This window comes from Homo sapiens, chromosome 19 (assembly GCF_000001405.40).
Source record: "Homo sapiens chromosome 19, GRCh38.p14 Primary Assembly".
In the NCBI taxonomy this organism is placed as follows: Eukaryota; Metazoa; Chordata; class Mammalia; order Primates; family Hominidae; genus Homo; species Homo sapiens.
This window is the reverse complement of record NC_000019.10, coordinates 8391076-8412504: the sequence shown is the minus strand read 5'-3', so window position 1 is coordinate 8412504 and position 21429 is coordinate 8391076. Positions and strand designations below refer to the sequence as shown.

At 55.0% G+C, this 21429-nt stretch overlaps 1 protein-coding gene across 1 annotated transcript in view, besides 2 other annotated features; it reads right to left on the bottom strand.

The window, feature by feature from the left end:
• Positions 446-740: an enhancer, noted in NCBI's record as "tiled region #2878; HepG2 Activating DNase matched - State 7:EnhWF". NCBI's record gives its function as "activates a minimal TATA promoter and a strong SV40 promoter by Sharpr-MPRA in HepG2 cells {active_cell/tissue: HepG2}" and the evidence as "EXISTENCE:reporter gene assay evidence [ECO:0000049][PMID:27701403]".
• RAB11B (RAB11B, member RAS oncogene family) overlaps positions 8071-21429 on the bottom strand; it is a 14075-nt gene continuing 716 nt past the window's right edge. The window contains exons 2-5 of the mRNA NM_004218.4: positions 12447-12642; positions 10226-10419; positions 9940-10020; positions 8071-9092 (exon numbers count right to left, since the gene is read on the bottom strand). Coding sequence (NP_004209.2) covers positions 8947-9092; positions 9940-10020; positions 10226-10419; positions 12447-12642 — 617 coding nt within the window. The 3' untranslated portion in view covers positions 8071-8946. The remainder of the gene's footprint in view (positions 9093-9939; positions 10021-10225; positions 10420-12446; positions 12643-21429) is intronic.
• Positions 15757-15806: a silencer, noted in NCBI's record as "silent region_10021". NCBI's record gives its function as "represses an Ori minimal core promoter by ATAC-STARR-seq in GM12878 lymphoblastoid cells {active_cell/tissue: GM12878}" and the evidence as "EXISTENCE:reporter gene assay evidence [ECO:0000049][PMID:35858748]".

The window sequence follows — 21429 nt, the reverse complement described above, 5'->3', positions numbered from 1 at the left end:
TGGTGGCCCAGGCCTGTAGTCCCAGCTGCTCTGGAGGCTGAGGCAAGAGGATCACTTGAGCCCAGGAGTTCGAGGCCAGTCTGGGCAACATAGTAAACTCACCCACCCCCATCTCTAAGACAGATCAATTTTTAAAAAAATACTGCACTATATGTTCACTTAGTATAAGCACACTTTTGCACATAATCACAGTATAACCTTCAAAATCAGAAAATTAATGTTCATCTAATATTATCATGTAATTCCCAGAGCCCATTCAAAGGCCAGGTGCAGTGACTCATGCCTGTAATCCCAGCACTTGGATCATTTGAGGTCAGGAGTTCGAGACCAGCCCGGCCAACATGGTGAAACCCTGTCTGTACTAAAAATACAAATAATTAGCTGGGTTTTGTTGTGGGCACCTGTAATTCCAGCTACTCAGGAGGCTGAGGCAGGAGAATTGCTTGAATCTGCAAGGTGGAGGTTGCAGTGAGCGGAGATCTTGCCACTGCACTCTAACCTGGGCAACACAGCCAGACTCTGTCTCAAAAAAAAGAAAAGAAAAGTTTCCAATAAAGTCCTTTAAAAATCCAAAGTCCAGGCCAGGCACAGTGAGTCATGTCTGCAATCCCAGCTCTTTGGGAGCCCAAGGCAGGAAGGTCTCTTGGGTCTAGGAGTCTGAGATCAGTCTGGGCAGCACAGTGAGACCCCATCTCTACAAAATAAAATAAAAATATTAGCCAGTTGTGGTGGCATCCTCCTGTGGTCCCAGCTACTTGGGAGGCTGAAGTGAGAGGATCAATTGAGCCCAGGAGTTCTGGGCTGCAGTGAGCCATTACCTCACCACTGCATTCCAGCCTGGGCAACAGAGCAAGATCCTGTGTCAAAAAACAAAAAATCCCAAATCCATCCCAGGATCAAGCATTGTATTTTGTTGTTAACGACTCTAATTTAGTCTCTCTTTCTGGAACATTTTATCAATCTTACCTTCTCTCCATGACATCAATATTTTTCAAAAATTCCAGGCTAGTAATTTTGCAGGAAGTCCTTCCATTGCTATTTGTCTAATACTTTCTCATGATTTTGCATTTGTGGCAGGAAACAGATGTGACGTTGTGTTTTCAGGATGCATACAATGCTGATTTTGTCCACTATCGATTGTGCTAACTTGGTTCAAATGGTGTCTGCCAGTTTCTCCAGTGTGAGGTTAGTATGTTACACTGTGGTGTTTTGTTGTTGTTGTTGTTTTTAATATTTTATTTAATTTTAATTTTTTTTTTTTTTTTTTGAGACAGAGTCTCACTCTGTCACCCAGGCTGGAGTGCAATGGTGTGGTCTCAGCTCACTGCAACCTCTGCCTCCCAGGTTCAAGGGATTCTCCTGGCTCACCTCCCGAGTAGCTGGGATTACAGGCCCGCACCACCACGCCCAGCTAATTTTTGTGTTTTTAGTAGAGGCAGGTTTCACTATGTTGGTCAGGCTGGTCTTAAACGCCTGACTTCAAGTGATCTGCCCACTTCCGCCTCCCAAAGTGCTGGGATTACAGGCAGGAGCCACCACGCCCGACCAATTTTTTTTTTCTTTTTTGGCGATGGAGTCTCATTCTGTGGCCCAGACTGGAGTGCAGTGGCGCCCTCTCTGCTCACTGCAACCTCCGCCACCGGTTCAAGTGATTTTCCTGCCTCAGCCTCCTGAGTAGTTGTGATTACAGGCCCGCACCACCACGTCCAGCTAATTTGTGTATTTTTAGTAGAGATGGGGTTTCGCCATGTTGGCCAGGCTAGTCTTAAATTCCTAACCTCAGGCATGAGCCACGGCACCTGACTTTACACTTTGTTAATAAGTGCTTTCTGGGGAGATACTTCGAAAGTAATTAAATAGCCTGTTCCTCAACACACGCCGTTTCCAAGAGCTTAATATCAATTGATGACCCTTGCCTGAGTCAGTTATTACCATAATAGCAACCAAATGGTGATTTTCTTTTTTGAGATGGAGCGTTGCTCTGTCGCCCAGGCTGGAGGGCAGTGGCGCGATCTCGGCTCACTGTAAGCTCCGCCTCCGGGGTTCACGCCATTCTCCTGCCTCAGCCCCCCGAGTAGCTGGGACTACAGGCGCCCGCCACCACGCCCGGCTAATTTTTTGTATTTTTTTTTAGTAGAGATGGGATTTCACCGTGTTAGCCAGGATGGTCTCGATCTCCTGACCTGGTGATCCGCCCTCCTTGGCCTCCCAAAGTGCTGGGATAACAGGCGTGAGCCGCCGCGCCCGGCCCCAAATGGTGATTTTCTAATTCCATCTTGGGGCATTTCCTTACTAACTGGCTCAACAAACTCTTCCAGGCTGACTTGTCTTGTCTTTTGCCTGCCCCAGGCCTGGACTCAACCATTTTTCCGAAGAGCCCTGGTTCATTTTAGTGGCGAATGATATTTTATTTATTTATTTATTTATTTATTTATTTATTTATTTATTTAGAGACGGAGTCTCGCTCTGTCGCCCAGCTGGAGTGCAGTGGCGTGATCTCGGCTCACTGCAACCTCCGCCTGCCGGGTTCACGCTATTCTCCTGCCTCAGCCTCCCGAGTAGCTGGGACTACAGGCGCCCGCCGCCCCACCCGGCTGATTTTTTTGTATTTTTTAGTAGAGACGGGGTTTCACCATGTTAGCCAGGATGGTCTCGATCTCCTGACCTCGTGATCTGCCCGCCTCGGCCTCCCAACGTGCTGGGATTATAGGCCTGAGCCACCGCGCGCAGCCAATTTTTTATTTTATTTTATTTTGAGATGGAGTCTCCCTCTATTGCCCAGGCTAGAGTGCAGTGGTGCAATCTTGGCTTACTGCAACCTCTGTCTCCTGGGTTCAAGCGATTCTCCTGCCTCCGCCTCCTAAGTAGCTGGGAATACAGGTGCACGCCACCATGCCCAGCTAGTTTTTTTGTATTTTTAGTAGAGACGGAGTTTCACCGTATTGGCCAGGCTGGTCTCAAACTCCTGACCTCGTGATCCACCTGCCTAGGCCTCCCAAAGTGCTGGGATTAAAGACGTGAGCCACTGTGCCTGGCCTTAATTTTTAAATAATAGAGACGGGGCTTGCTATGAGGCCCAAGCTAGTTTTGAGCTCCTGGGCTCAAAGGATCTTCCTGCCTCGGCCTCACAAAGTGGTAGGATTACAGGCGTGAGCCACTGTGCCTGGCAGATAATTTCATTTATTTATTTATTATTTATTTATTTATTTATTTATTTTTGAGATGGAGTTTCACTCTATCGCCCAGGCTGGAGTGCAATGGAACGATCTTGGCTCACTGCAACTTCTGCCCCCAGGTTCAAGCAATTCTCCTGCTTCAGCCTCCTGAGTAGCTGGATTACAGTCACTTGCCACCATGCCCATCTAGAATTTGCATTTTTAGTAGAGACGGGGTTTCATCATGTTGGCCAGGATGGTGTCAAATTCCTGATCCTAGCACTTTGGGAGGCTGAGGTGGGTGGATTACTTGAGGTCAGGAGTTCAAGACCAGCCTAACCAATATGGTGAAACCCCATCTATAATAAATATACAAAAATTAGCCGGGCATGGTGGTGTGTACCTGTAGTCCCAGCTACTCAGGAGGCTGAGACAGGAGAATTGCTTGAACCTGGGAGGCAGAGGTTGCAGTGAGCCGAGATTGTGCCACTGCACTCCAGCCTGGGTGACAGAGCCATTCTGTCTCAAATAAATAAATAAATAAATAAATACACAAAAAAGAAAACAAAAAAAAGAAGGCTGGGCACGGTGTCTTACACCTGTAATCCTAGCACTTTGGGAGGCCAAAGCAGGTTTATCACATGAGGCCAGTAGTTCGAGACCAGCCTGGCCAATGTGGTGAAATCCCATCTCTACTAAAAACACAAAAATTAGCTGGGCATATGCCTGTAATCCCAGCTACCTGGGAGGCTGAGGCATGAGGATCACTTAAACCCAGGAGGTGGAGGTTGCAGTGAGCCGAGACAGAATGAGACTGACTCAAAAAAAAAAAAAAAAGACCCGTCTCAAAGGAAAAAAAAGTAACCTGGCTGGGCGGTGCAGTGGCTCACGCCTGTAATCTCAGCATTTTGGGAGGCCGAGGCGGGCGGATCACGAGGTCAAGAGATGGAGATCATCCTGGCCAACATGGTGAAACCCCGTCTCTACTAAAAATACAAAAATTTAGCCTGGCATGGTGGTGTGAACCTGTAGTCCTAGCTACTGGGGAAGCTGAGGCAGGAGAATCGCTTGAACCTGGGAGGCAGAGGTTGCAGTGAGCCGAGATCTCACCACTGCACTCCAGCCTGGCGACAGAGTGAGACTCCATCTCAAAAAAAAGGAAAAAAAAAGTATTCCAGAAATAAGAGAAGGAATACAATTTGCATATCACCATTTTGTAGCCGCTAATGGATTATGAAGCTTGGTAATGCTCATTAGCAGCTGCTAATGCCACAAAAGAGGGAAACATTAATGTAATGTGTCTTCTAATGTATGTACACGACACTAGTTAGGCAGCGCTCAATCCAGTCCTGACTCTAATCAAACCTTTAGGTGGTTTTTTTTTTTTTTTTTTTTTGAGACAGGGTCTCACTCAGTTGCCCATGCTGGAGTGCAGTGGTACTATCTCTGCTCACTCCAACCTCCACCTCCCAGGTTCAAGTGATCCTCCTGCTCCAGCCCCTGGAGTAGCTGGGATTACAGGCACCTGCCACCATGCCCAGCTAATTTTTGTATTTTTATTAGAGATGGGGTTTTGCCATGTTGGCCAGGCTGGTCTCGAACTCCTGACCTCAAATGATCTGCCTGCGTCGGCATCCCAAAGTGCTGGGGTTACAGGCATGAGCCACTGCACCCACCCCATAAAACATTTTTAAAAAGTTGGTATACTTCTTCCCAGTCTCCATTCATTCATTCATTCATTCATTCACTGTGACAGTGTCTCCCTCTGTTGCCCATGCTGGAGTGCAGTGGTGTGATCACAGCTCACTGCATTCTCTACCTCCCTGACTCAATTGATCTTCCCATCTCCTCCTCCTAAGTAGGTGCGTGCCACCATGCCTGGCTAATTTTTGTATTTTTTGTAGAAACGTGGTTTCATCATGTTGCCCAGGCTGGTCTCGCATTCCTGGGCTCATGCAATCTGCCTGCCTTGGTCTCCTGAAGTGCTGTAATTACAGACGTGAGCCATGCTCTCAGCGTTTCTTTATTATTTTTTTAGAGACTGGGTCTTGCTGTGTTGCCCAGGTTGGACTGTAACTCCTGGGTTCAAGTGATCCTTCTCTCTCTCTCTTTTTTCATTGGCAGTTTCTACTTGAAATCCTCCTGTTGCCCTGGCGCGGTGGCTCACGCCTGTAATCCCAGGACTTTGGGAGCCCAAGGTGGGCGGATCACAAAGTCAGGAGATAGAAACCATCCTGGCTAACACGGTGAAACCCCATCTCTACCAAAAAAAAAAAAAACAAAAAAAAATCAGCCGGGTGTGGTGGCATGTGCCTGTAATCCCAACTACTTAGGAGGCTGAAGCAGGAGAATTGCTTAAACTCAGGAGGCGAGGGGGAGGTTGCAGTGAGCCGAGATCAAGCCACTGCACTCCAGCCTGGGCGACAGAGCGAGACTCCATCTCAAAAAAAAGAAAAGAAAAAAGAAATTCTCCTGTCTCAGACCCAGAGTAGCTGGGACTACAGGTCACACCACTGTGCCCGGCTGTCTTCCCAGCCTTTTATCTGGGCATTTTATCCACTTCTTAGAGTTTTCTGGCTCATAGCTGGTACTCAATAAATGCTCAGAGAAGCCTCATAACTTAGCGGTTACACACAGTTCTGGGTTTGAAACCTGTCTGCATCTTACTAATTGTGAGACCTTAGGGGAATCACTTAACTTCTGTAAAAGGGGCCAGTATATTATGCCCACCTCGTTGGGTTGTTGCAAATAACAAATAATGATGTGTGAAAGATTTAACACGGTCCCTAAGAAAAGTAAACGTAGAATTGCCATATGGGCCAGGCATGGTGGCTCAAGCCTGTAATCCCAACATCTTGACAGGCTGAGGTGGGTGGATTTCTTGGGCCCAGGAGTTCGAGACCAGCCTGGGCAACACAGTGAGACCCCTGCCTCTACAAAAAATACAAAAATTAGCCAGGCGTTGTGGCGTGTGCCTGTGGTTCCAGCTACTTGGGAGGCTGCGGTGGGAGGATGGCTTGAGCCTGGGAGTTGGAGGTTGTAGTGAGATCATGCCACTGCACTCCAGCCTGGGCGACAGAGCGAGACCCTGACTTAAAAAAAAAAAAAAAAGTTTTTTTTTTGAGACGGAGTCTCGCTATGTCGCCCAGGCTGGAGTGCAGTGGCACAATCTCTGCTCACTGCAAGCTCCGCCTCCCGGGTTCACGCCATTCTCCCGCCTCAGCCTCCCGAGTAGCTGGAACTACAGGCGCCCGCTACCATGCCTGGCTAATTTTTTTTTGTATTTTTAGTAGAGACGGGGTTTCACCATGTTAGTCAGGATGGTCTCAATCTCCTGACCTCGTGATCCACCCACCTTGGCCTCCCAAAGTGCTGGGATTACAGGCGTGAGCCACCGCGCCTGGCCAAAAAAAGTTAAGTTTTATGTTATGTGTATGTTACCATAATAATAAAAGATTTAAGAACAGAGTCTGGCAGAGTGAGCAGGACGTGCTTATTAAATCACTGAAATCAGAGTAATTAAACTGGCATTGCTGGCTTCTGACTCTTAAAGGGACATAGAGTATGTCAGTCAGTCCCCATCTCAGGCCTAGCAGATAATGGCGGCTCTAGAAATATTTGTTGATCTTTTGACTGCTTGAAATTCAAGGTGCTAAGGCCAATCACGGTGGCTCACGCCTGTAATCCCAGCACTTTGGGAGGTCGAGGCGGGTAGATCATCTGAGGTCAGGAGTTCGAGACCAGCCTGGGCAACATGGCAAAACTCTGTCTCTACTAAAAATACAAAAATAAGCTGGGTGTGGTCGCATGTGCCTGTAATCCCAGCTACTCCAGAGGCTGAGGCAGGAGAATCCCTTGAACCTGGGAGGTGGAGGTTGCAGTGAGCCAAGATCACACTACTGCACTCCAGCCTGGGTGACAGAGCAAGGCTCTGTCTCAAAACAAACAAACAAACAAACAAAAGCTCAAGGTGCTTTCTTGCTTAGCACCCAATGCCTCTGTCCACCACATGACCTGCCCTGCCCAAACCCAGGGGAATCCATGTCCCAGGGGTCTCTGTGAATGGGCCTTGGAGCCCAGGGTGCCCAGGTGCCTCCAATTCTGCCAGTTAGCTCTGTGCCAGGCTGCTCCCTGGGCCTGGAGCGCACACCTTGGCTCATTCCAACTCCTGTGTCTACACAGCTCCCAGCGACCTGGAGCTCTTCTGGGAAAAGGTGTCTGTGATCCCCTATCCCTCCAGGCAGGGCAGCCAGTCTAGAATCAAGAGGGAGTGGTGCTGTCCTCTCTCATGGGTCCCCAGGGTCTTCAGGGTGTGGGTGGCCTCTTCAGCTAGAGGCTGGAGCTTTTGGACAGCTGCTGGCAGCTCACACTGGTCCCAAGGTCACTGCAGGGGTGAGGTGGAGGGAGACGCTGGATCCTGGGAAGAGGAACTCCATGCCACACATTTTGCTGTCCCTGGCATTTCCCCACTGGGCCCTCCTCCGGTGTCAGTTTAGGGTGGAGACATCTGGCATCACCAACATCCACTGGGCAAGTCACCCTCGTCAGGACCCCAGGGGAGGGGAGGCCCTGGCAGGAGACAAAGTGATGAACCCTGGCCACTGCTCTTGGCTCCCATCCCCATCAGGGGACGCCCGCAGGCCTGAGGTCCTAGGACCCAGGAGTTTAAAGTCAAGGACAAGCGGCAGCCTTCCATCCCTCCCTGCCACAGGGGCAGCTTGACCAGGGCCCACCCCAACTGCGCTGGCTGACTTCCACGCTGCCCTTGGCAGGTGCTGGGGTCCTCTCGCTTCCTGTGGGGTGGGCTGGGGAGACGGGGGGTCTGGCCTGCATTGGGGAACGTGCAGCGAGAGGGGCCTCAGCCTAGGAGCTGGCGCCTGGCGGAAAAGAAAGAAGACAGAGGCGCAGCGGCAGGTTTCTGTACAGGAAGTCAGATTATACATTTCAGTAACGGGCGGGGTGACGGGGACGGGGCAACAGCGCAGGGGCCACAGGGAGAAGAAGAGATCGAGAGCTGGGGTTTGGCGTAAATCTTACAAAGTGTATAAAGAATCTGTGTTTCTCTACATTAACAAAAACCAAAGGCTACAAGAGCGGTTGTATATACAAAACACGGAGATATTGCTTCACTTGCAAACAGGTTCCAGACCAGATGGGGAGACGAGACAGAGGAGGGGGACAGGGAGGGCCGAGAGGGCGCGTTGCGTGCAGGAGAGGGGAGGGGAGAGGGGAGAGGGGGGGACGGGCTTCTCCCTGCATCAATCAACAGGCAGAGGTGGGAGGCCTGTGCGAGCTGCTGTGTGCGGAGGAGCGGGTGGGCGCTGAGAGCCCGGGGGGTCCGCCTGCCCCGGCCCCCGCTGCCTGGTTCTTCGGGCTTTGGCCCAGAGCACGGTTCTGGGTGGGGACGACGGGCTGGCTGGGCCACCCGGTCACGGAGGGAGGGAGGCAATCGCTCCCTAGAGTCGGCCAAGGAAAAGGGGAGAAGGCGGCGCCGTCCGCCCGTCCTCCTCGCCTCTGGCCAGCCCCGTCCATCCTGCCGCCCTCCCCACCCCGCCAAGACGCTGTGGGGACCCGAGTTTCATGGGTGCAGCAAACCGGGGCTTCTAGCTTTTCCCCGGGCAGGACGGGGTAGCACTGGCTCCTGTCCTTCCTGGGCCCCGGCCCGGCCGTGCAGAGCTCACTGGGAGGGCTGGAACGAGCCGGCCACAGAGGGACAGCAGGGAGGGGCCAGAGGATACCGTGGCGGGGGCGGGCGGAGGACGTGCACGCACGCTGGGTGGAGGCGCAGGGGTCACAGGTTCTGGCAGCACTGCAGCTTGTTGGGCTTCTGTCCGTCCGTGGTGGGCGGCACGCTGATGTCCACCACGTTGTTCCCCGGGGACTCGTCGTGGGCAGCGCGGTCTGCGATCTGTTTCTGTGACACGATGCGGTAGATCTCTGCAAAGGGGGTACAGGGGGACGTGGGGTGAGCCAGCACGTGCCCTGCCTGCCGAGGGGAACCCCTCCCTGCAGGACTCCAGAGGCCCTCTCCAGACCCCCACAGCGCCCCCATCACATCAGGGGTAACAAGGACAGGGGCTGCGCACCCAGCCAGGACCCACATCTGGTCACAGCCAGCCCCGGCCTCTCGCTCCCTAAGATCAGAAGCGCCCTCCTCCCTCAGAGGTAAACTCCCAGAAGCCAAAAGGCTCCAGGTCCCTGAGGCTACCCGCCTCCCCGCAGCGCCAAGAGTTAAGGCAGGGCCCATCCCCAGGAACTGGGGCCAGGGGGTCTCTGTGTCCCCAGTGCCAGCAAGGGCTAGACCTGGTCTGACCCTGTGAAGTGTCCAGGTGGACCGGCAGGTTTAAAAAGCAAAGGTTAGGGGTGGTGGTGGAAAAAAATCAAACAGGCCAGGTGCAGTGGCTCACGCCTGTAATCCCAGCACTTTGGGAGGCTGAGGCAGGAGGATCACTTGAGCCCAGGAGTTCGAGATCAACCTGGACAACATTGTGAAATCCTGTCTCTACTAAAAATTACAAAAATTAGCGGGTGTGGTGGCAGGCACCTGTAATCCCAGCTACTCGGGAGGCTGAGGCAGGAGAATTGCCTGAACCTGGAAGGCGGAGGTTGCAGTAAGCTGAGATCGAGCCACCACACTCCAGCCTGGGCAAAGAGCAAAAATCCATCCTGCCCCGACAAAAAAAAGAAAAAAACAAGCAAACGAACAAAACAAGCGAAGGTTCAGAGGCCGTGTTCCACCCTGCCTGGCTGGTGCCCTACCCACACCCATCTGGTCCCCGGCCACCTGTGAGGATGTTCTTGAATGCTTCCTCTACGTTAGTGGAATCCAAGGCTGAGGTCTCGATGAAGGACAAGTTGTTCTTTTCTGGAACAAAGAATACTGCCTAGGTGAGTGGGGAGGCAGGGTGACAGGCTCCCACATGCTCTCAGGGACCCCGCCCACCCACCTGGCCCATCCCAAGGCCACTCCTCAGGGAAGGGAAGCCAGGGCTGTGGCCAGGGCCCCAACACTGTGAGGGGCCTCCTGCCTTCCAGACACCTCTCTGATGCCTGCGTCTCCGTCTGCTCACCTGCGAAGGCGCGGGCCTCGTCAGTGGGCACAGCCCGCAGGTGGCGCAGGTCACTCTTGTTGCCCACCAGCATGATGACGATGTTGCTGTCTGCGTGGTCCCGCAGCTCCTTCAGCCAGCGCTCCACGTTCTCATAGGTCAGGTGCTTGGCGATGTCGTACACCAGCAGGGCGCCCACTGCACCACGGTAGTACCTGCAGGGTCAGGGGCCCATGAGCCTCTCTGGAGGACAACCATGGGCAGCGGCAGCCTCACGGGATAACAGCACACATCACGCCCAGGGTGGGTCGTCCAGGGCCGAGCCAAGGGGCAGTCATTGTGGCCTCAAGGGAAGGGTGTGTGTCTGGAGGCCCCAGCGCTGCTCCCTGGATCCAGCTCTGAAATGTGGGGGTCTGAGGAGGGAGTTTGGGAGCTGGAAATAGAAGATACCGTGAGGTCATCAAAAAAAGGGAAGAAGGGGCTGGGCATGGTGGCTCATGCCTGTAATCCCAGCACTTTGGGAGGCTGAGGCGGGTGGATCACTTGAGGCTGGGAGTTTCAGACCAGCCTGGGCAACATGGCGATACCCCATCTCTACTAGAAAAACACAAAAATTGGCCGGGGGTCGTGGCTCATGCCTGTAATCCCAGCACTTTGGGAAGCCGAGGCAGGTGGATCACGAGGTCAGGAATTCAAGATCAGCCTGGCCAAGATGGTGAAACCCCATCTCTACTAAAAATACAAAAATTAGCCAGGCGTGGTGGCAGGCGCCTGTAATCCCAGCTACTCGGGAGGCTAAGGCAGGAGAATTGCTTGAACCCTGGGGGGCGGGGGGCGGAGGTTGCAGTGAGCCGAGATTGTGACACTGCACTTCAGTCTGGATGACAGAGTGAGACTCTATCTCAAAAAAATAAATAAATAGGCCAGGCAGGGTCGCTCACGCCTGTAATCCCAGCACTTTGGGAGGCCGAGGCGGGCAGATCATGAGGTCAGGAGATCGAGACCATCCTGGCTAATGCGGTGAAACCCCATCTCTACTAAAAATACAAAAAATTAGCCAGGCGTGGTGGTGGGCGCCTGTAGTCCCAGCTGCTCAGGAGGCTGAGGCAGGAGAATGGCGTGAACCTGGGAGGCAGAGCTTGCAGTGAGCTGAGACTGCGCCACTGCACTCCAGCCTGGGCGACAGAGTGAGACTCTGTCTCAAAAACTAAAACTAAAAAATAAATAAATTAATTAATTAAATTAGCCAGGCATGGTGGCACAGGCCTGTAGCCCCAGCTACTCAGGAGGCTGAGGCAGGAGAATCGCTTGAGCCTGGGAGGTCAAGGGGGCAGTGAGCTGCAATTGTGGCACTGCACTCCAGCCTGGGCGACAGAGCAAGACCCTGTCTGTCTCCAAAAAAGAGGAGGCGACAGCCAGGCACGGTGGCTCACGCCACCTGTAATCTCAGCACTTTGGGAAGCCGAGAGGGTGGATCACCTGAGGGCGGGAGTTTGAGACCAGCCTGACCAATGTGGAGAAACCCCATCTCTACTAAAAATACAAAATTAGCCTGGTATGGCGGCATGTGCCTATAATCCCAGCTACTTGGGAGGCTGAGGCAGGAGAATCGCTTGAACCCAGGAGGCGGAGGTTGCAGTGAGCCGAGATCGTGCCATCGCACTCCAGCCTGGGCGACAAGAGTGAAACTCCATCTCAAAAAAAAAAAAACAAGAGGAGGTGACAGAGAGACAGATGTACCTGAGGGATGAAGGAGATGGGAGGGAGCCCAGAGGATCTCAAGACGGTGGTGGGAATGGCTGGGGGGCTTGGGAGGGGTCCAGAAAAAGGCAGCTGAGTGGGTCCTGATGGCTGGGAAGCCTTTGCAGGGAATGGAGGCCAGGCCCAGGTGGGAGGACAGGAGGCGTGTGGGACCAGGTGTGGGCACCAGTGAGGAGGGAAGCTGAGGGAGGAGGAAGGCTGGGATGCTGGCTGGGCAGGGGCAGCGGCAAGGCGGAGTGGCCTGAGCTAGGTCCTCACTGCACTTGGTACCCAGAGATACCCTGGTGTGGCGAAGGCTGGGCGCTGGTCAGCCTGAGGGTCCCACGGCGCATGGCTAAAGCGTTCTTCCAGCCTCACTCCCTGGTCTTGGGAGCACACTCTCCCCTTCTCCTGCCCAACTCCTACACATCCTTCCAAGCCCACGCGCTGCAAGCCCACGCCCCCGAATCTCAGCGTCCCTGCCCAGGCTGCCGACACGCACGCGGAGGTGATGGCGCGGTAGCGCTCCTGGCCAGCGGTGTCCCAGATCTGCGCCTTGATGGTCTTGCCGTCCACCTGGATGCTGCGGGTGGCGAACTCCACGCCGATGGTGCTCTTGCTCTCCAGGTTGAACTCGTTGCGGGTGAAGCGCGACAGCAGGTTGCTCTTGCCCACGCCTGAGTCCCCGATGAGCACCACTGGGCGGGAAGGCGAGGTTCTGTGAATCCCCACACTCCACCCACGACTGCCCCCACAACCTTCCCGCCGGTTCCCTGGGTGCTGCACCAACGCGGCTGCCAACGGTGTGGAGGAGTCGAGAGATGCCTGGAGCCCAGGGCCTGCAGGCACTGTGCTAAGTGGTGCAGAAGTGAAGGCAGGCTCCTGCCTTCCAGAAACAGCCACTGCGGATAGCACAACACCTGCCTGTGTCTGGTCCTCAGAGCAGGGCTGTCCCAGCTGGGGCAAGGGGACCCAGGCAGCCAGGCAGGCAGAGCAGCTTGAGATCCATCAACCCTGAGCCTCCACCTGCAGCCTGGTGGCTGGGCAGCCAGACACGGCTTGAGAAGGCTCCTGAGCGGGGTGACCTTGGGCAAGTCACTTCACCTCTGGACTACTTTTTCCAAATGTGTGAACAGGAAGGCAGTCACAGGAGGAGGAAGTAAGAGCAGGCATGGCCAGGCACGGTGGCTCCCGCCTGTAATCTCAATGCTTTGAGAGGATGAGCCAGGCGGATCACTTGAGGTCGGGAGTTCGAGACCAGCCTGGCCAACATGGTGAAATCCCGTCTCTATAAAAAATACAAAAAGTACCCGGGCGCGGTGGCTCACACCTGTAATCCCAGCACTTTGGGAGGCCGAGGCGGGTGGATCACGAGGTCAGGAGATCGAGACCATCCTGGCTAACGTGGTGAAACCCCATCTCCACTAAAAATACAATAAAATTAGCTGGGTGTGGTAGCGGGCGCCTGTAGCCCCAGCTACTTGGGAGGCTGAGGCAGGAGAATGGCGTGAATCCGGGAGGCGGAGCTTGCAGTGAGCCGAGATCACGCCACCGTACTCCAGCCTGGGTGACAGAGCGAGACTCCATCTCAAAAAAAAAAATAATAATAATAATAATTAGCTGGGCGTGGTGGCTACTGTAGCCCCAGCTACTCAGGAGGCTGAGGCAGGAGAATCGCTTGAGCCCAGGAGGTGGAGGCTGCAGTGAGCCGAGATCGAATCACTGCACTCCAGCCTAGGCAACAGAGATTCTGTCTCCCCCCACGAAAAGAGCAGGCATCGCACAGGAAGGGACACGAGTAGGCAGCTGTCACGGTTGTTGTGGTTTCTGGTCAGGGCATGGGAAGGGTCACTGCTCCAGGTATGTAAGTGACAGGACATGAGGAGCTACTCCCACCTCAACCCCCACCTCTCCTGGTGCAGCAAACCCACATCCAGCTTCGGCACAGATGGCTGAGTGGGAAACAGGAATGTGCCCTGAGGACGCAGCCCGGAGGAAAGAGCCTGCAGCCACCTCCCACCACCCCTGTCCCCAGGGTCAGGTCCCCTGCTGAGCTGCAGGGAGCTCCAGCCAAGGCTAAGTCCTCATTCAAGGGGCAGTCCGTGTGGCAGTCCACGTGTGTGCACAGCTCCTCACAAGGCTCCAACACAGGTATGCATTGTCCCAGGAGGGGGGTGCACAGCAGAGCAGCTTGCCAAGATGCAAACCCTGGCCCAGAAAGGAGTCAGCGCAGCGTGGACAGAACAGAGATGAGGGTTTGTGGGCAACAGCACCCAGGGACGGGGGCCTGAGCCCAGTCGACACGGGGTGTGCAGCAGGCCTGTCTCATGCTGGCCAAGGAGCATCAGGAACACTTTCCCTGAGCAGAGCAGGTGCCTGCTGGTCAGGCCAGGGGTGAGCTGCCTTGTAAACTGTTTCCTGTCCCAGCCATGGAAGCACTGTCCCTATGGGCCCAGCCGCCCCAGGCTCTGGGGTGGGGTCTGGGTGAGCTGTCCCCAGACCCAGAACATACCATGTGGGGAAGATCAGTGTGTGTGTGTGCACTTGAATACAGCCAACCAGACGCCCCAGCCAGAAGCCCCGTGGACCCCCAAGTGTGGGCCTTGGGCCCCGGCACCTGAGGGTGGGTTGGCTCAGTGGCTTGGTCATCCCTGGTCCCAGGGAGTTAGGGGGCATCCACTGAGGATGAGGCTTCCTTGTCTGGGAAGAGATGGGTATGGCTGTTCCTCCTGAGCTCGGGGAGGTGCTGGCAGCCAGGCTGAGCCCTGGCTGACCCAGAGGTCCGCTGGCCCCACTCGGGACCCCTGCTACATTGAGGGAGCAGGCCCTGGAGCCCACCAGGCAGCCCTCCTCTGCCCTTCCCCTGGCCACACTGTGGGGCTGTACCTACACGTTTGGAATTTTCCCTCTAGAAAACATTCTCTCCTGACCCAACTTCCTGCCTCGGGCACTGGAAGGTATCATCTACACTCACTCACTCCACCTCCTGTCCCCCAGTCCTAGAACTCAAACCAAGCACGCTTTCGCCCCCACAGTCAGTGTCAGCCTCAGCTACCCCCACTCCCCCGGGCCTGTGCAGCAGGCACCCAGCCAGCTCTCCCTCCTTCCCTGCCTGCAGGGGCTCCACACCCCGACTCCTCTCCTCACAGTCACTCCCACTCAGTCTCCCACTCTACCTTCGAACCTCAGGGAGCCTCAGGACAGGCATCTCTGTCCACACCCAGTCCCCAGGTGACCCCATCCAGGCTCATGGCTGTAAATACCAGCCATGGGCTGGTAACTCCTATATTACCTCTCTCCCTAGAAGCCCAGACTGGCGTGCCCATTGTCTCCTTCATGTCTCCTCAGGGGCCCCAGGCCCCTCATACCCAGAAGAGCAGAGCCAAGCTCCCGATCACTCCCTAAGCCTGCTCACCCACCGCTCACCTACCCTCCTTATCTTGGTTAACTTTGGCTTGGTCCTACCAGGCACTCATGCCAGAAACCTGGAGTCATTCTCGACTCCTTCCTTTCTCTCGCATCTCAGAATCAATCCTTCAGCACATCCGAAACAGATCCAAGAGAAGGGAGGACGAGGGGTGCACCCCACCATGTCTCCCTGGGCGATTCCATTCCAGACTCTCAGACCCTGGAAGGTATTGTCTGTGCGGTCCCTGTGTTCACGCTCATCACCAACCAAAACGCTGTCCTCCTGCAGCAGCCACCAGAGAGCGCCCGTGAGTGCCGAGCCAGGGCACCTCCCTCCCTCCTCTGCAGACAACCCTCCGTGGCCCCCACCTTCCGCAGGGGAAAAGCCACAGTCCTCCCCGCTGCCCACAGGGCCCTCCCCTCCTCCCTCCCGCCCCCCCCCCGGCTCACTCTGCTCCAGCCACACAGGCCTCCATGCTGTTCCCCCAACACGCCAGGTGCGATCCTGCCTCAGGGCCTTTGCACGGGTTGCTCCTGCTGCCAGAAACGCTCTTCTCCAGGCACACACCTGGCTCCCTCCCTCATCCCCTTCGTGTGGCCCCTTAAATGCCACTTGGCCAAGAAGGCCCTCCCTGCTATGCTACTAAAACTCTACTCTCCGAATTACCCTGCTCCCGGACCCAGTTCTTCCTCCGTCACTCTTGCCACTCTCTCACCTGTCAGGTGGCATTTATCTTTTGCCAGTCTGCCCCAAGGGCAGGAATCAGGTCCTGGCACAGTGCTTGGCACACAATAAACACCCAAGAAAATGTCTGTCAAGTGAACAAACAAAATGCCAAAAAGGCTGGCAGAGCCTCCCACGCATGCCGCCTGCCCCATACCTAGAGGATGCCAGGTCACCACCCTTGGGCCACAGGTGAGGAGGGCAGGATCAGGCAGCCCCTACAACCCCACCTGGTACCCGCTCTGGTTGGCTGCTTGGAAGCCAAGAATAACAAGAACAAGGAGAATATTCGATGAGCTTGTGCTAACAAAGCTCTTGATGTGCGTTACTTCGCAGAAGCCTCCTGTAGCCCATTTTTACAGATGAGGAAACTGAGGCTTGGATGGGGAACGGGGTGCGGGGCAGAGCAGGACCCTGAAGCTATGCATGTTTGTGGGCTCGCCCTCACCTCCCAACGGTGCTCCCCAAGTGACTTGTCTGGAGCCACCGCCTGGGAAGTGAGCCAGGCAGGATTTGAACCCAGGTCTTCTGCATCCACAGTCCAAGTTCTTCCTTCGCAACTCACTGCCACACTCACTGTCCTACCCCAAACCCCAGCACGTGGCTCGGGAGTCGTGGTTCTGCCTTATGGGGTGGGCATTGAGGCTCTGGGCACCCCAGCTCCCACCGCATAGGGCAGCCTGTCCCCCTGGGGCGGCCAGCAAACTCCTACTCATCCTTCAAGACCCCTCGGCTCAGACCTCTCCTCTCCCCAAAGACCACTGCTTGGCCTGGCGTGAAAGACCTAAGACAACGGGGCTGGCATTCTCTCACGTCACCATGGGTGCCCCGCACAGGGCTACCAAGTGGACTTCAGAGAAAGACAGAAAGATGGCCGGGTACAGTGGCTCATGCCTGTAATCCTGTAATCCCAGCACTTGGGGAGGCCGAGGCAGGCGGATCATTTGAGGTCAGGAGTTTGAGACCAACCTGACTAACATGGTGAAACCCCGTCTCTATGAAAAATACAAAAATTAGCCGGGTGTGGTGGTGGAGGCTGAGGCAAGAGAATCATTTGAACCTGGGAGGCGGAGGTTGCAGTGAGCCGGGATCGTGCCACTGCACTCCAAGCTGGGCGACACAGCGAGACTCCATCTCAAAAAAAAAAAAAAAAAAAAGAAAGATGGAAAGAGGTGGAGTGAATGTAGGCGTGTGGCCCAGCACCTCCCAACCAAGCCAGTAGGGATGAGAATCGGCTCCCAGGCCACTGGGGGCCAAGATGGACTCACTGTGAGGGCCCCCATCTACACCACCAACCTTAACCTCCTTTCCACGGCAGCTACGGGAGCCTGGCCAAGGCCAGGGAGGTCTGCTCAGTTCTCACGTCCTCAGGAAATAAGACAGGAAACTCGGGCCCTGCCCAGGCATTCCCGACACCTTCACACCATTCCAGCCTTGCCCCAGCTGTACAGCCTTAGTGGCTCCTCAGCCCCATCAGTTTGTTTGTTTTTGTTTGTTTGTATTGAGATGGAATCTCCCTCGCCCAGGCTGGAGTGCACTGACACAATCTCAGCTCACTGTACTCTCCGCCTCCTGAGTTCAAGAGATCCTCCTGCCTCAGCCTCCCGAGTAGCCGGGATTATAGGCGTGCACCACGACGCCCAGATAATTTTTGTATTTTTAGTAGAGGTGGGGTTTTGCCATGTTGGCCAGGCTGTCTCAAACTCCTGACTTCAAGTGATTCACCCACCTCGGCCTTCCAAAGTACTAGGATTCCAGGCGTGAGCCATGGCACCCAGCCCCATCAGTTTTGCCCTCAAGCACTTTGGCCAGGCTGGGTCCCCAGTGCTTTGCAGGCCTCAGCTGTCCACATTCTCAGGGCTGCCCCAGGGACAGATGTAAATATTATCATTCTCCCTGAACAGCTGGGGACACTCAACCCAGAGTGACCAAGTCAGAGCAAAGGCCAAATGGCCACTGAACAGATCAATGACAGGCCAGGTGCAGTGGCTCACGCCTGTAATCCCAGCACTTTGGGAGGCCAAGGCGGGTGGATCACTTGAGCTCAGGAGTTCGAGACCAGCCTGTCAACATGGCGAAACCCCGTCTCTACTAAAAATACAAAAAATAGGTGGGCATGGTGGTAGGCACCTGTAATCCCAGCTACTCAGGAGGCTGAGGCAGGAGAATCATTTGAACCCAGGAGGCGGAGGTTGCAGTGAGCTGACACTAAGCCACTGCACTCCAGTCTGGGTGACAAAACAGGTGAATGGCAAAGAGGCTGAGCTGCCCAACCAGTCCCTGGCACTGGGTGCCCGATGCAGAGAGGTGGCCAGCGGGGCAGTGGCGGGCTGGTCCAGGATGCAGGCTGGGGATGAAAACTTCATTGTCTAGGACACAAGCAATCTGTTGTCTTGGGGAAATAAAGAGCCCTTGAGGACACAGCTCCGAGCATTTCCACAGAAGTTGGTGGCTTCACTGGCTGGGAAGCGACCCCCCTACCCCAGACACGCCACTTGGCTGACAGAGCAGGCAAGCCCGGTTGGCAAAAACAAAGAACTGGCACCTCTGAGAAGTCCTAGGTGCCCTGGCCTGCCCCATGACAGTGTGGTGGCCCTGGGGGCCCAGACCCTAATGCTCAGGCAGACTGAGAGACTCTTCAGGGGAATGGTGCCCCCATTCCGGCAGAGCCTGGCGGAGCCAAGCAGTGCCCCCATCCCTCCCCTGGAAGCTGGTCCTAAGCATCCTAGGCCCCAGGGACCGGCACTGGGGGCCACTCTTGTCTCAGCTCTTCTATGGGGAGGTGTACAGAGCCAGGGCACTGGAGGGACCCCCATTCTAAATGGGGAAGATGGTATGTTTGGGTCCCCAAACAGCAACTGGAACAGCAGGCCCACTGTGAGGTCTGCCCAGGCTTGAGGGCTGGGAGCTGCCTCAGGAGCCTCAGCACAGAAAGGGAAGCACCAGGCAGGCCCCTTCCCTGGGGACAGGGGCCACCTTGTCCTTGGGCAGGGGAGGGGTGGACAAGACCCAGAGGACAGGGCCTGGGGCAGCTGCGGCCCGTTTCCCCCACGACCCATGTCCTCCAGGGCCAGGTGAGCCCTGATTGGCCAGGGCCTCTAGGGTAGGGGAAGGGCTCTGAGAGGACCTCAGTGGCCCTTGGGGACACAGCTGCAACCATGGAGTACCGAGTCCATCAGAAAAGAAATCTGGGGTCCCACGGCAATTAGTGGCAGGCTATGAAAATGGCCCATGGCTAAAGGAGAAAATGTTAGGAGGATAAATGTGAGGCTCTATAATTAGGTACAAATCAACAGTGTCATTCCTGGGGGAAGGAAAGAACATTCACGAAGGAAAACAAATGGCACACGGGGCATCACCCGGGGGATCTGCTGGCCTTGGCCGCTGAAGTCAAGGGAGCCAGTGCGTGATGTGGCCACCAAAAAAAAAAAAAAAAATGCAGAGGCCAGGCACGGTGGCTCATGCCTGTAATCCCAGCACTTTGGGAGGCCGAGACAGGTGGATCACCTGAGGTCAGGAGTTCAAGATCAGCTGGCCAACATGGTGAAACCCCGTATCTACTAAAATACAAAAATTAGCCGGGTGTGGTGGGTGCTTGTAATCCCAGCTACTCGGGAGGCTGAGGCAGGAGAATCGTTTGAACCCGGGAGACGGAGGCTGCAGTGAGCCGAGATTGCGCCACTGCACTCCAGGCTGGGTGACTAGAGTAAAATTCTGTCTCAAAAAAAAAAAAAAAAAAAAAAGAAAAGAAAAAGGAAAAGAAAAATATTGAAAGAGAATAGAGGAGGTCCTCTGATGAGGCACAGCTGTGAAGGTGAGACGGCAGATGACCAGTTTGGGAAAAGCTGAACTTGTGGGTTAGATTTTTGCTACCAACTAGCTTGAGAAGGTCAGCAGGGCACCTGCTAGACTCAGTAAAAGGAGGCCAGTGTGGGGAGGGCAGCAGGGCAGGCACCGCCCCCCCCCACCCCACACCGCCTGCCCGCCAAATGCCAGATGCCGCAGAAGCTAAATCAGTGTTTCCAGGAAGCAGTCTCTGCAGACAAGTCCCGGGAACCACACAGCCTCTCCATTGCTCCTGACCCAGTAACTGTTCTGCTGGGAACGCACTTCAAGGAAATAATCTAAAGGGCAAAACCATGACTTGAGCAAGCACTCGGAGCTGGGTCATTTAACACAGCAAAAGGGCAAAAATAACAAGCAGGGGATAACCACAGAAACCTGGATGGGGCATGTGGGGAGCAACACCCCTGCCCTGGCAGTGCCACGTCTGGGTGGGTGCCCAGCCAGGACCTGGGAGCAGCTGCCTCACGGTGGGCTGAGTGGAGATGGCACCCGATCAGCAGGACCCAAAGTTTAGTCCCCCTGTCTCCAGACGGCCCCTTAGAATCCCAGTCTCCAAAACCCTTCCAAAGCTTCCTCCTGCCACGAGGGGCGAGACCTTGGGCCGGGCACCTGCTGACCACAGAGCCTCACCCACCAGTGACATTATCAACCTGTGTGCAGCTGCCAGAGCCCTCAGTGCCACAGGACGACTCTAGGCCCTTGTAGAGGCACTTCCTCTCCCTCCCCCCGGAAGGCTTTCGCCACACGGACAGCCCAGGTGGGGAGACCTCTGCCTCATTCCCCACAATCAGAAGACGCTGGATGAGACCAGACACAAGGCCCAGCTAGGCCTGGTGCAAGCCACAGAGCACACTCGGAGGAACGGCTCAGCGAGGTGAGGATACCAACAGCTGATGTGCGACGCAGGCCCTCATAGAGCAGGCCGCAGGGTGAAGGCACCTTGGATCCAGGGGTTAGCCCTCAAGGGCTGCCATTGTCAGCCAGGGAGCCCAGCAACCAGGGCAGACCACTAGGCCAAAGTGTAGCTGGGCACAGAAGGCTCAGCTGAGAAACAAGGGACTCCGGCTTCCTCCAGCTGTCCCTAAATGGGCAATGGCTGCCTGATCTACCTAGGCCTTATGTGATGCTCCTAGAGCCCCCTCAGTCCCTCGGGCGGGGAAGACCCTCCAGCAGGCTGGCTGGGGCCCCGGCCATCAGTGCGCACGTGTTGGAAGAAGTTGGTCCAACAACCCAAAGTCCCAGATGCTGGCCACAAGCCCCCTAAGACACGCTTCCTAAGTGGTAAGGCCTACAGGTGGCCTGGGCTCAATCGGGTTCCAACACTTATAAACTGTGTCTTTGTCACTCTGGGCCTCAGTTTCCCAACGTGTAAAAAGAGAGGCTGGTTAGTATCAACCTCAAAGGGCTGCAGTGAGGATTTTAGTTAATTCGGGTAAAGTGCTCAGAAAAGTGCAAGTACTGGCTTAGCACTGTTGAGAGTTCTGAGTGAAGAGATGGAATTCTTGCT